This window comes from Homo sapiens, chromosome 15 (genome assembly GCF_000001405.40).
Source record: "Homo sapiens chromosome 15, GRCh38.p14 Primary Assembly".
Lineage (NCBI taxonomy): Eukaryota > Metazoa > Chordata > Mammalia > Primates > Hominidae > Homo > Homo sapiens.
The window spans coordinates 37026117-37039463 of NC_000015.10; the positions used below are offsets into that span (position 1 = coordinate 37026117).

Here is a 13347-nt window from a genome sequence, read left to right on the forward strand (position 1 = left end):
TGAAACACTGAAATAGAACCTATAACTTTTCACCATGGGGAAAAAAAATAAGGTTGCTTTTAAAGAGAGTCCCAATGTGTCACCAAATCTACAGGGAATAATCTAGCATTCATCTTTTCTATTGATAAAAGCCTTTTTCTTTTTAAAAGACTAGTGTAGCACCACCCCGGTACACTTGGGTTGTTTTTTGTCAGCGTACGATGGGATCACACCATGTATTCTGGGTAAGAAAAAAGCCATTTTCCAATTCTAGTGTGGCCTGAGTCATGGGAATATACTTTTCCAAATTATTATAGAATTGCCAAATATTTCCAAGACAAAATTAATTCTGGAATATTTGTGATTGCAGGAGAATGATGCAAGAAGTCAAATAAAATCTAGACAGTTATATTATAATGTGATAACAGAGGTATTTAAATTAACAGCAGCAACAAGATTTGATGCTGGGATTAACAAGAGGAGATCTTCATTATCTGGCTATGTCAGGCAAACCAGATATCAGCAGATTTGGCGGGGGGAGAGTGGTGGCTGGAAGGAAACTAATTAGTGGCCCATGTTAATTTTCTATAATGCTCAGAATAACTAGATAATAATATTCTCTTCATTTCTTGTCATCGCAGAATCCCATGACAATATCTCTTGAGTTGTAATTTTTGTGTGTGTGGACAATCAAGTCAGATTCAACAAATATTCATGTTATCTATTATAACCAAGAAGTAAAACTATAGTTTAAGAAAAATTATCTGCCATTATATTGTGACTTGACAACTTATCCACTATTAGATAAAAACAACTTAAATTTGTTCTGGCAGATTTGGGACTTGGCAGTTCAGAATATGAATAGCAAATGTAAAAGCATGAAAATGGCATTACTATTATGTTTTAAGAGGATAATACACCTTTAAAGGGTGCCAGTGATTATTCTGCATACTGTAAACAACTGCTGCCAATCAATTTAGAAAGTGGCACACAGCACCTAAATGTAATAAGGCAAACTCCATTCAACCACCCTAATGCTTCCTACCTAAGTCACTATTTCTTAACAGGAGAAATGGGGCTGGATATCATCTTTACACTTCATAATCTGTTCCAAATTGCAAAAACAGACTACAGCATGGAGAAGGCAGGACATTTCCAGGAGTCCTCTGAAATCTGTGCAGTAACACTTTCTAAAATCGAAATTAGTCTTGAATGTTAGGGTCACTTTATGACCCTATCCTGCAGCAAAGCTGAGGGACAGTCAGTATTCTCATAACCCAGTCAACTTACCCTGTAATTCCCAATCACTCCACTTCTCCATGGAATACACTTGCAAACTGTGGTCATGTGGAACGAAGAAATGGAAATTTTCCCTATGATCTGAATGAATATTCAGGGATTTCACTAAATAGCATTTAATGGCACTCTATTCTTGGAGTTTTTAAATAGCTGAATATTCAATATGCACATGCCTTCTATGTTCCTTTATTCAAGGGTCCTCAATTCCCCATCTCCTTGAATTCTTTAACATATTTTTAAACAATTATACTTCGAGTGATATTTTATGAAATTGGGTGCTAAACTTTGAGCTAATAATTATTTTGGTTTCTTTTTGATGGTAATTTAATAAGCCTTTCATTCTTCAATCTTTTCATTCAATTCCTTTTTTTTTTAAGTAGACTTTATTTTTTTAGATCAGTTTTAGGTTCCTCAAAGCAAAACTGAGAGGAAGGTACAGAGATTTCCCATAAATCCCTGGCCCCACACATGTATAGCCTCCCCATTATCAACACCCCCTACCGGAGTAGCACATTTGTCACAACTGATGAACCTACATTGACACATCATAATCACCCAGAGTCCATACTTTCCATTAGGGATCACTCTTGGTGTTGTACATTCTATGGGTTTGGACAAATGTATAATGACACGTATCCACCATTGTAGTATCATCCAGAGCAGTTTGGCTGCCCTAAAAACTCTGTGTTCTGCCTATCAATTACCTATTTTTAAAATGTATCTGCCAGTTAGTAGCTCATAATCTGGGAGGTAAGTTTCTCAGTCTATCTGAGGTGAACCTCTTTTTAAACAGGATTGTCTGATGTAATTTGAAATATCTTGAAACGTCTTAAAATGTTTTTGCATTGAGGAGACTATGCATTTCATTACCCCCATGAAAAGCCATTGCACCACCACTGTACTGGCAACTTTACCACAATGTCACTCAGAACCATGTGAACAAAGGCTGCTGAATCCCAAACACATCAGTCTTTCCATGCAGAAGCCCTCATAATCCAATTCAAAACACCAAATTGGGACTACAAGTAAAAGGTTATGACATAGCAATATGCAATTTTTCCCCCTCAAGAGAGACAAAGTAAATTCAGTTGCAATTTTCTCTCTTCTAGAGGAGCTTCTAGGATCCAACACGACATTAAATTTTTGGCCTGTCTCTTTAATTTGAGAAATTGTAAAAACGACAACAGATGGCACACAGAATTGACTTATGTCCTCTATTCTTTACTGAAGAAGGGAGTGAAGAGAAACTTTGATAAAGGCAGAAGCTACAGTATGCAGGTCACTATTAAAATTATCTGGTGGCTCTTTGGACAGCTAGCATCAGAACACTCAGGCTTTCATTTTTAGACATTCTTTAAAACTAACCAATACTGTTGCAGGTTGCCACTGCTGATCACAGCCCCAGCACTCAGCACCCTCCCATCCCAATAAGGACATGACGGATGTGCCATTAGCTCTGAACCTCAGCAACCTCTGAAATTACCCTTCTGCCCACCCCTATCTCCCATCCCCACCCCTCAAAATCATTATGAAATAGGAAGAACACTCAAGCTTACAGTTAATTGGAAACATTGCAAAAGAAGAGGAATGCTTAGGACAGCATGTCCACGGGAAAATAAATCACCCAGCATTGTAATTTAATGCATTGTGACATCATTTCCTGAAATTAAACAGAGATGACACCAGTTCAGACGATCTCTAGTATAAGATTCCATTCAAATAATTCACAGATGTTTTCTCCTGGCAAGCAGGAAAACAATGCAAAGGCTAAGGCTAGGGGCGGCCCCACTATGCTGCATGTTTGTGGGAAGCTCTCTCTGCTGGTACTTTCAGCTGTGTGTTCTGCATGTGCATTTCCACATAAGTATTTCTTAGGAGACTCACTTGCATGCATGTGAACATTTGCAGCTCTGAATATGAGAAAGACCATCTCTTACTGTATAACTAAGGTCAACATTTCCTATTTGGTATTAATTTGGCTCATAGCTATTTGTATTATGTAGACCAGTCTCAGAATCATGAAGGCCCTAATTTCCAAGCAGAAATAACTAATGTCCATGAAATACTGGTTCAATTAACCATTCAAGATCCTTAAAAGATGTCTAATGATAGAAATTATCACAGTGTCTCCAGGGATACATTTGTGGAAATGGACAAGTGGAGAAATTGGGGGTGCAGGATGAAAGAGGTGGGTAGCACTACATCTCTAACCCTTGGTGATACATAAGCTCTGAGCGGCTTCAAGCAGCTAGAAAGCCAAGCACACAATCAGAAGACCAGAATACCTAACATCTGTGCAGCACGTTACAGTTTACAAATTGACTGCATCATTTGAGCCACACAGCAACCCAATCAGCTAAATAGGGCAGATAACTTTCATTTTGATGGTAAGAAATAGGTTCAGAGAGGTTGAATAATATCACAGAGTTCACACCTAAGGCTTCCAAGTTCACAGCTGGTGATCCCTTTTTTAAAAACCATTACCATGGCCAAGTGCTGTGGTTCACACCCATAATCCCAGCACTCTGGGAGGCTGAGGTGGGAAGATCAGTTGAGGCCACGAGTTTGAGACCAGCCTGGGCAACACAGCGAGATGCCGTCTCTACAATCAATCAATCAATAAAAAATAATAAAAACCATAACATGCTGTCTTGCAGACAGCCTAGACTTTCACACTCTAAGGAAGATAGCAACTCTATATTCTGTTCATATCCTGGAAGACAAATGGTGAAAGAGAGCATTCTCTCTCAAAAGTAGCCCCATTGGAGACATTCTGAACTACTCCATAGCCCATTTCTTCTCCACCTTCCACCCCATCCCTGAAAGTTCACTAGGATGCTCTGGCTTTCATGACACCAGGACTCTCTAATGCTATCACCTAGCTTCAACAAGCAGCCACCAAATGTTAATATGGATTTCGGAAGGCAGAATGTAGACCATGTTCTCTCCTACTGAGGGGTATTTCCATTTTTTTTTCTTTTTTTTAGGCTGGAGTGCAGTGGCACAGTCTCCACTCACTGCAACCTCTACCTCCCGGGCTCAAGCAATTCTTGTGCCTCAGCCTCCCCAGTAGCTGGGACTATAGATGTGTGCCCACACACCTGGCTAATTTTTGTATTTTTAGTAGAGACGAGGTTTCACCATGTTGCCCAGGCTGGTCTTGAACTCCTGGCCTCAAGCAATCCACCCCCCTTGGCCTCCCAAAGTGCTAGGATTACAGGCGTGAGTCATCGCCCCCAGCCTGGATATTATTATTATTATTATTATTTTTTCTTTGAGACAGGGTCTCACTTTGTCACCCAGCCTGGAGTACAGTGCCGTGATCATGGCTCCATGCAGCCTTTGACTCCTGGGCTCCACCTCATACTGCCAAGCAGCCAGGACCACAGGCATGCACCACCATGCCCAGCCAATTAAAAAAAAATTATAGAGATGGGGTCTTGCTGTGTTGCCCAGGCTGGTCTCAAACTCCTGAGCTTCAGGCATTCCTCCCACCTCAGCCTCCCAAAGTGTTGGGGTTAAAGGCATAAGCCACTGCACCGGCCATATTTGGGATTTGTTTGGCAAAACCTGGTCTCTACATCTCTACAATCCCAGGAACAAATGTGGTAACTTTGGATGCCCAGGTCCATTGGTCAAAGCCTTCTGCTAGCCATTTAACTGGATTAAAATAAAAATTATAGTTACTTTATATATGTACTTATTATAAGAATCAGGCACAGGGCTGAGTACTTTACATTATTTCACTTAATCCTTAAAATAACCTTACCAGGTGGAACTAGAATTATTCTTCTTCTGCAGATATGAAAAATGAGGCGCAGAGAGGGTAATGGCTCAAGATCAAAAATCTACTGTGTTGCAGATTCCAGGCCCTGTGCTCTTAACCTCGACATTGGACTGCCTCATTTAAGAAAGAAGCCATCTGGATCTGCACAAGATAAAGATAACTAGTCAAAGGGCAAAATAGTCTAAGTCTCTCTGTTTCTGTTTCTCTTTCTCCTTCCCTCCCTCTCTCCTCCCTTGCATATGTGTGTGTGTGTGTGTGTGTGTGTGTACATTACAATAACAAATTTAAGATGACTAAGTTTACGGTCATATGGTCTTGATGAACTCGGTGGAGAGACAGGTTTCTCTAACATCACATGGAACTGAATATACTTATAACTTGGGTGCACTGTCTCTGTAGGATGATATCCTTTATAGCACATTTTTATTACCAAACCCAGGCCTTGACAAAATCCCATAAGTCAGATTCTAATAGGCAAGTAGTAAAATGAGTAAACACCTGAGAGGTGGGCTTCACCCCTCTCCCCAACCCCCAGAGATATGAAGAGGGGACAAAGCATTTTGTCATGAACAAAAGGCAGAGGTTTTAGAATCTGTAGTTTCAAGGCAGCTGCATACATAATATTACATCACTTTGTGTGTGTGTGTGTGTGTGTGTGTGTGTGTGTGTGTGTGTGTGTCTGGGTTTCATTCCGTTGCTTAGGCTGGAGTACAGTGGTTCCATCCTAGCTCACTGCAGCCTCAAACTCCTGGGCTCAAATGATCTTCCCACCTTGGCCTACTGAGTAGCAGGGACCACAGGCATGTGTGCACCACACCCGGCTAAATTTTTATTCTTTTGTAGAGATGGGATCTCATTATGTTGCCCAGGCTGGTGTCAAACTCCTAGCCCCAAGCGATCCTCCCCACTTGGCTTATATCACTTTTAAAAGTAAAATTTGCTTCTGATTCTGTAACACACATCTTTGAAAGAAGTCCCACATCTGCTAAGTGTGAGCTTTATCCCTATGTTTTCAAATAAGAAGACCTTCAGCCAGAAACTGGTATGAGCAAGTAGTGTCTTTGTGTATGAGCACTTCCTGTTTCTAGTCCATGATCAAATATATTATTTGCAGCACAACTGGAGGAGCTCTTGAAGGTGGCAAGTGGAGGTGCCCGAGGGCCTAATTGAGCACATTAAGGGCTTCTTGGCGTGGAGGAGTTTTTTCACGTCAGCCTGGGTATTATTGCTTGCTGTTTCTTTCTTTATCTTTGAAGTCAAATAAAAACAGTTGTAATGGCAGGCTTACTTTTATGATATCATAGTCTCCATGTGCTAGCAAAAGGAATGTACTTCTCTAGGATTTCCCTAAGTTTTTGTCTGTTTGTTTGTTTGTTTTGCCATTGGGTACTTTCCAGCAAAGGCACACACATTTCCAAGAGATTCTTTCTTCAATCATCACTGGATTTCTTAGCTTGAGAAGTTAGGCAGTGCCATCAACCAACGGAAGAGGGTAATGGTATACAGAAAGTTTTTGCTAGTTGAATTTCTAAAAATATATAGATAGATTTATTCTGTTAAAATTATTGTGAATTTTTTTAGAGGGGATATTTGTAAGGGGCATTTTGAAAATAGGGTAGTTCGAAACAAAAAAATTGAGGCTAATTATTAATATTTAGCCCCAGATTAAGCAAATTCAGAATGCTTAATTCTGACTATGGAAACGGTTTATCAAATCACTTGATTTTTTAAATGCCACTTTGGACTTTGTTTAAATATTTTCCTCAGCGTAATCAATTAGTGCAAGTTTGTTACCTTTCCCCCTGAAGTTGGTGGTGCAAAGGAATTTGAGAGATTGTTTTAACTGTTACAGTTGGAGTGGAACTTGTTCTTCCAAGAAAACTGAGGGTGAATGATTTTTGTCATATTGAGACTAAGACTTAACAATTGCTACAGTTGGCCTTTGTTGAGGTAGGTTTTTTTCCACCTCTGGGCCTTTTGAGGTATTCAGAATAGGTGACAATAGCTTGCAGTTGAGAACATATGTAGAAAGACCCCTGTGGCTTATTGGGAAAAGTTGCTCCACGCTGGTTGGGTGTTTGGAAAAAAAAAATACAACCAGAGTTCTTTTATGTTCTGCTAGTTAATGAATGCATGAATGTCAAAATGGGCCAATGGCCCATTCAGGGGGCAAAGCCTTGGCAGCCCCCTTCTTTAAGAACACATCCTGAGATGCAAAATACATTTGCTTAACAAATTAAAATAATGAGATAATTCAATTAGCTTCTTTTTTAAAAAAGAAAGAAAAAAGGGTACATCGGGGATTATTGTAATACAAGAACAGGTCACACTGCACAAAAGGGAACAAACCAGTTTGAAATAATGTTAAAGAGACTAATAATGGAGAAATGCATATTGAATCATGCACTTGTAAAGAAATTTACATGAAATAATAATTTAGACTGCATCTACTTTCAGTGAGCTAGAGCCAACATTTCACTTTGAAAGTCGAAATTAATTAAATGACAGAAAAATATAGTGGGGCATCTCTAGTTCCAAGGACTTCCTCATGCCTGTTAGTGCATGTAAGAAAAGAAATCTAAATTAACATGTCGCTAGTTAGGGGTCTCTATTCTTGGTTTCTGAGCTCAGAATTACAGCTGAGTAAATCTTTCAGCTCATTAAAGATTGGAAAGTAAAAGTTTTACAGGACCATCCTCATCAAAGTTACTGAACCTCTTCTCTGCAGTGGGGTGAAGTGTGGATGAAGAAGGAAAACATTTTCAAAGAGCAAGCAGAGGAGAATTTCCTAAAGCTACAAGGGAGGTGCAGAAAAGGCAGAGGAGCGGCACAGAGAGAAAGATGGGAGACAAAGCTAGTGGGAGAAAGTAATGAAAGGGGCATGTTGTGAAGAAGGTCAGGAGAGAAATAAAGCAGTTAGTGAAAAGCAAAAGCAAAGAGAAAGGGGGAAAGAGAGGAAAGAATGACCCATGAGGCTGGGACCGGGCATTGCTCTGACTAAATGTCCTTGAGCAGAACCAAAACCTAGGAGCATGGGAAAGGAGCTTATCCATCCTGCAACGTGTCCCTCTCATTTGAAAAATGGGGAAACAGAAAGTCCAGGGAACTTAATGGACTTAACTGAGGTTCAGCCAGTACAGAGGATCACAGAGCATGAATGCAGACTTCCCAACTCCCCCAGCTTAGGCTATTTGAGTCCTCTCTCCCAACCTGGAGGACAGGCAGTCATTAAAAATTTGAGTCGGACAGAGAATTCTGCACAAAGCCTTGCATACATTCAACTAGATGAAAGCATTCTTGAGGTGACTACAAGCTCTTACTGTTAGTTCGTAGCACAGCAGAGGTACAACAAGTGCCCAGAAATCACCAGCCACCCACAACTCTAATCGGTGGCCATGGTGCATGCTGGGTGCCGCCCTGGGCAGGGAGGTGGGAGATAAGGTATTAAGGGCTCCTGACACTCCCATGTGAGATTCAACTCACAAAATACAGGTGGTAAGGCTTTCTATATTGGGTAACACGGAGCTTTCAAAACAAGAAAAGAAAACAGCACTTGGCTTCTCCGTATTTCTCCCTTGTGACTCTGAGCGTATTGATGGTGGAGACTGTGAGATTTCTATGCAACTGTTAAAGGTGATCGTCATTTTGGCAAAGTCATTGTAATGTGGAAAAATCACAGAGTTGGGGACTTGGAAGTCTCGGGCCCTTGTCTCAGCTTGACCTTCAGCTAGTAACTTCCCTTTTTGGGTCTCTGTTTCCTCATCTATAAACAGAGCAGCTGCATTCTCTAAGGTTCTACTGTTCTCTGACATTGGTTTTGATGACAGAGAGGTTGAAAACACACGTAGCTGTTTGCTTGGAAAGCAGCTGTTGAAGTGTTTATTTTCGACCAAGAAAGACCAAGCATGGAGGAGGACAGAGGGAGGGAACCAAACAGGTGAGCTGGTCAGGAGAAGGCAGCTGGCCTGTCATCCGCAGCTACACTGCCGTTCTTAGTTGCTACTCTAACCAAACAAACCTTCATTTAAAAATGAGAAACCCCTCCCCTCACAGTCACTCGACTTCCAAATTAAAAACATTTTACAGGTTAGTAAATCTCCAGCTGAGGTGATGTAGCAAAGAACAGCTGTGAAGTAATTTTGATAATGATGAGAATAATAACCACATGGCAAGGTTCAGGGCTTTGCTGTTGCAGCTTCAGTGCTCCTGAATAGATAAAAGTGATTAAATACTCCTGATTATCCCTGACCAATATGTAATGGATTTACAGCCCTTTCAATTAGTCAGTATTTGCTTAGGACTCATTATTTTGTCTTTGGTTAAGTAATCAGTCCAGAGACCGCATGTTCTGTCTAATTCCTCTGAGCCGAGTCAGTGCAGGGCCCTGACCTTTGAAATGGCCATAGCTGCAAGGCAAGAATAACCACTACCACAGCTGCCTCATTGGTTCTCCCAGCTAATCCTGACACCACAGGCCAGATCGATACACCTTAGTTTGCTACTAATGTCCTTACATCAAAATGGCCGATTTAGGAATGTGAATCTATCACTTTTCCCTCCCCACCACTGCTCCACCCCTTGCCCTTTGTAGCTCTGCAAGAAGAGCCCATCAGCAGCCACCACCATAAATAAAAGTGGAACCTTGTCCTGGACCCATGACACTGTAACTAATGTCATTCAGCATGGCAACACACAAGTTGGATAATCAAAGAAGACCTTCAGCTTTCAATGTGCTACTCTATTTTTAAGTATTAGCCTAAATAGAATGGCCTGAAAACAATATTATAGCAAGAAGCAACCTCTGAAATTTTTACTGGTTTCCCAGAATTTCCAAATGAACAGTAAAATATAAGCATGCCTAGTTTATCTGTAAAAATATATTGTAATTTTTTTGTCATAAGAGTCTTAGAGTCAACAGTATGTATCCACACATACAAGGATTGCAAACAGGAAGATAAAGATAAATTGTTACTTTTAAAATGTCTCACATAGTAAAACCGTTTCCAGAAGTGAACATGGTTAGCTTTTAAGATAATGGACTTGAGCAGCTAAAAAAAGAATCTTTAATGTCCACCTTGCAAACAAAGGCATTACAGCACCTATAACCCTTCTGAATTTGTCATATAAATACATGACATATTTGTAAACTGCTTCAGCAATTAAAGCTGCACCTGATATTGTGAGCTTGGACATGCATGTGGCAAGGTGCTTTTTTTTTTTTTTTTTTGGCCTCCTAGAGGAGACAGCTTTCGTTAACAGTGTAATCAGCAACGTTTATGGATTTGTGAGCTCCTTACAGCCATTTCCCTTGGTTGCTGTTGCAGTATCCGAAGTTGCTCTCATACTTTTAGCATAAATAACAAATTTACTTATATATGCTGTTTAGGGTCTTAGATCATTTTAAATAAAGTCCATTCCCAGCTTCTTAAAACAAAAACCTGCTACTTTCTAGAGGGTGCTCTTTGGATGGTAATAGTTGATGAAAAAAAAAACTTTAACTAGTCTGTTAGTCATCAGATTTCAAGAATAAGAAAATAGGCACCTTAGTTTAAAAAAAAATCAGTATGAGACCGTATAACTTGCTAGCAAAACAACAAAAACTATTTTTTTTTTCTCTTTCATCTTGACTTACTGTGAGATGCTGGAAGAGCCATGCTCTCATGATATTTGTTGCTACTTTGGGGAAAATGCCTCTTTTCTTCTGGCGTTTTTTGTCCTTATCCGGATCATCATCGTCACCTGTACCAGGTGAAGCTACACTGTTGTCTAAACCATCCCCTAGTAGAAAGAAATAAAAATACATTAGAGAAAACATCGCAAGGTGCCAACAACAAGTGCAGCTAATGATGAGCTCAGCTAAGCTTGTTGAAAGAAATCCATTAAGCGAGTATATTCTCTTTCATTAAAGTATAATTGGAGACACAAATATGTAAAAGACAAAATTAAACCAGGCCTCTTCAAATGTTAATTTTGTGTGTCTCACACTTGCCCATATCATTAATTCAATTATAACTGTGCACTTGACACAGTGCAGTAGCTCTTTGTCAATTATGGAATCCAATGTGGGAAAACCGCCATCAGAAAACCTATTCAGTGGAAACGCATCCCCATGCCCAGAGTGAACACATACTGTAGGGTAATCAAGTTAAATGTTCTGTAGTCTATATATTCTAGGCTGCCTGCATAGGTGACAGTAACTGTGTCACTGTTCGTTGCACATAACGCACTGCCTGCTCAGCCCCTCCTAGAGCTGTCACCTCCTAAGCACGCACATTCGCACACTTCTCATATGACCCTGCACTCGGCATTTGCATGACATGAAAACTTTTAGCTCTCTGCACCACTGATCATTATCATGAAAAAAAAAAAGATACACATCAAGGTAGGGTGCTCACTTAATCAGAAGTTTCTATCAACATCTTTCTCTTCTGTGCTTTTCTCTGGCATTAATTGTGCATTAGCAAAAATCATTTACTTTTAACAGTCATAGTTATTTTTTCTTGCCCTCTGGCAAAAATGCCTTGAAAGCCTGCCTGGAGGGCATCTAAATTATGTATCTGAAAAACTCTTCTGGCAAGGCATTGCAGGACCCCTACTTTCTTAAAATTCATACGAGCACGTCTTCCTGTTTTTGGGAAGGCATCAATCAAGAGCAGCAATATATGCCATATCCCTACATTAATATTTGAACTAATAACTTTAAAAAAAGGAAAGAAACAAGATCCGACTTGTGGCATAATCAAATGCAAAATAAATGAAGAATACGGGGACAGCACTGGGGCTTTATAGATGGCTGTGTTTTCCTTGCACATCATTAGCCTGGAGCCACACGAAAGAGGAAAACAGAGAAGTGGAGAGTTTATGCTCCCTGCTGGTGTTTAAGAAGCCAGGGTCCTGGAAGGACATCTGGGAATTGCACTGAGATGGGGGTTTTTGTAATTTAAGAATAGACATTCATTAGCAGTAAATGCCATAAATCCCATGCTAAGTAAAAACCTTGTCCAAGAAAGCCTAAAACAATAAACTCTGTGCTCAATGTAGCCTGAGCTGGATGCTCTGTAGCTTTCTGAGGAATACTAGAGATCCATCAGCTCATTCCCAGACCTGCTCCCTCCTCTCGGACTATGCTACAGCACAGCCATCCTGCCCACTGGGCCACTTGCCTTCTAACTTCTGGGTCTGCTCTGTGGGCTTCCCTGTACCTGTTCTTTTCCTTTCTTGCCAAAAAACCCTCAACTTTCTTTGACTAGAGAAGCAGAAAAGCCACAGCAAAGAGCTGGCAGATTAATTTTATTGACATTTCCATTTTCACTGCAATGCGATACCCTCCATCACATGGAAGAGATGACCCTCACTATTTACAGACTGACAGGCCACTTCATTACAACCACCCTGCCCCAAGGCAAAGCAGCTCCCTTCCATCTGCCCAAACACTAGAGCATGACCCCGAAGTTGCTGTTCTCTTTTTCTTTGCCTTCTGTTATGATAAGAAAAAAGGGACCCCATATAGTCAAAGACCGAATCAGTATACAGTGAAACAAAAGGCATTTGACTCTTTCAATACTGGATAATATACAGTCTAGTTTTCATCTGTCACCCTCCCTGCACACCCATGTACACCGGAGTGTCGCCTGGACAAGGAGACACACACACATACACGCACACCCAAGCTCGTGCAGGGACACGTGCACACGCTTTCCACCATGCCAAGGAACTGCTGCAAGGCAAATTCTCACCCACACTAATGGCTTCTGACTGCTCCTTGGCAACCCTAGCATTTTAACCTGGGTGGATGTGCTCTCCAAAATACAGACACTGGAGCGATCTCATCAGCTGTTCATGTGACACAGATGGAGAGTGGCTATTAGGAGCCAGGCAGTGGGCCTTGGGGATCTGAGGTGCTGTTCTGTAGCCTGAGGCAATTTTGAAAAGCAGTACCCGGAGATGAGGAAAAAAAATCCACACTGCAAGTGCAAGTTTGAAGTCAGTCAGTCTGTCTGTCTACCTACCATGGATAAAGATATCTTTGTGTGTAATATGAAATCTATGTAGGCTATCTGAATGTACATTTCAGATAATGTATGTATGGAATAACTCTTCCTTCAGTGTCTTCCAAATATAAAAACACACTCTGTAAACAATGCCTGTGTGTATATATTTCTTTCTAAGCACATATGGTTTCTGTGTATATGTTTAAGCTGAAATTGTCAGGATTTTGTTAAAATCTCATTTAGCTTTTTTTGATAGATTTTTGAATGCACTTATTTTAAAAGGTTAATGGC

At 40.5% G+C, this 13347-nt stretch overlaps 1 protein-coding gene across 9 annotated transcripts in view; it reads right to left on the reverse strand.

Moving 5' to 3' along the window:
* The window catches only part of MEIS2 (Meis homeobox 2), a 212108-nt gene that overhangs the window by 136913 nt on the left and 61848 nt on the right, over window positions 1-13347 (reverse strand). For all 9 annotated transcript variants that reach the window (NR_051953.2, NM_002399.4, NM_001220482.2 and 6 more), the window contains one exon: window positions 10698-10843. Coding sequence is in view for 8 of the 9 variants with exons in the window: in NM_002399.4 (NP_002390.1) it covers window positions 10698-10843 (146 nt within the window). In the remaining variant the exon portion in view is untranslated. The remainder of the gene's footprint in view (window positions 1-10697; window positions 10844-13347) is intronic.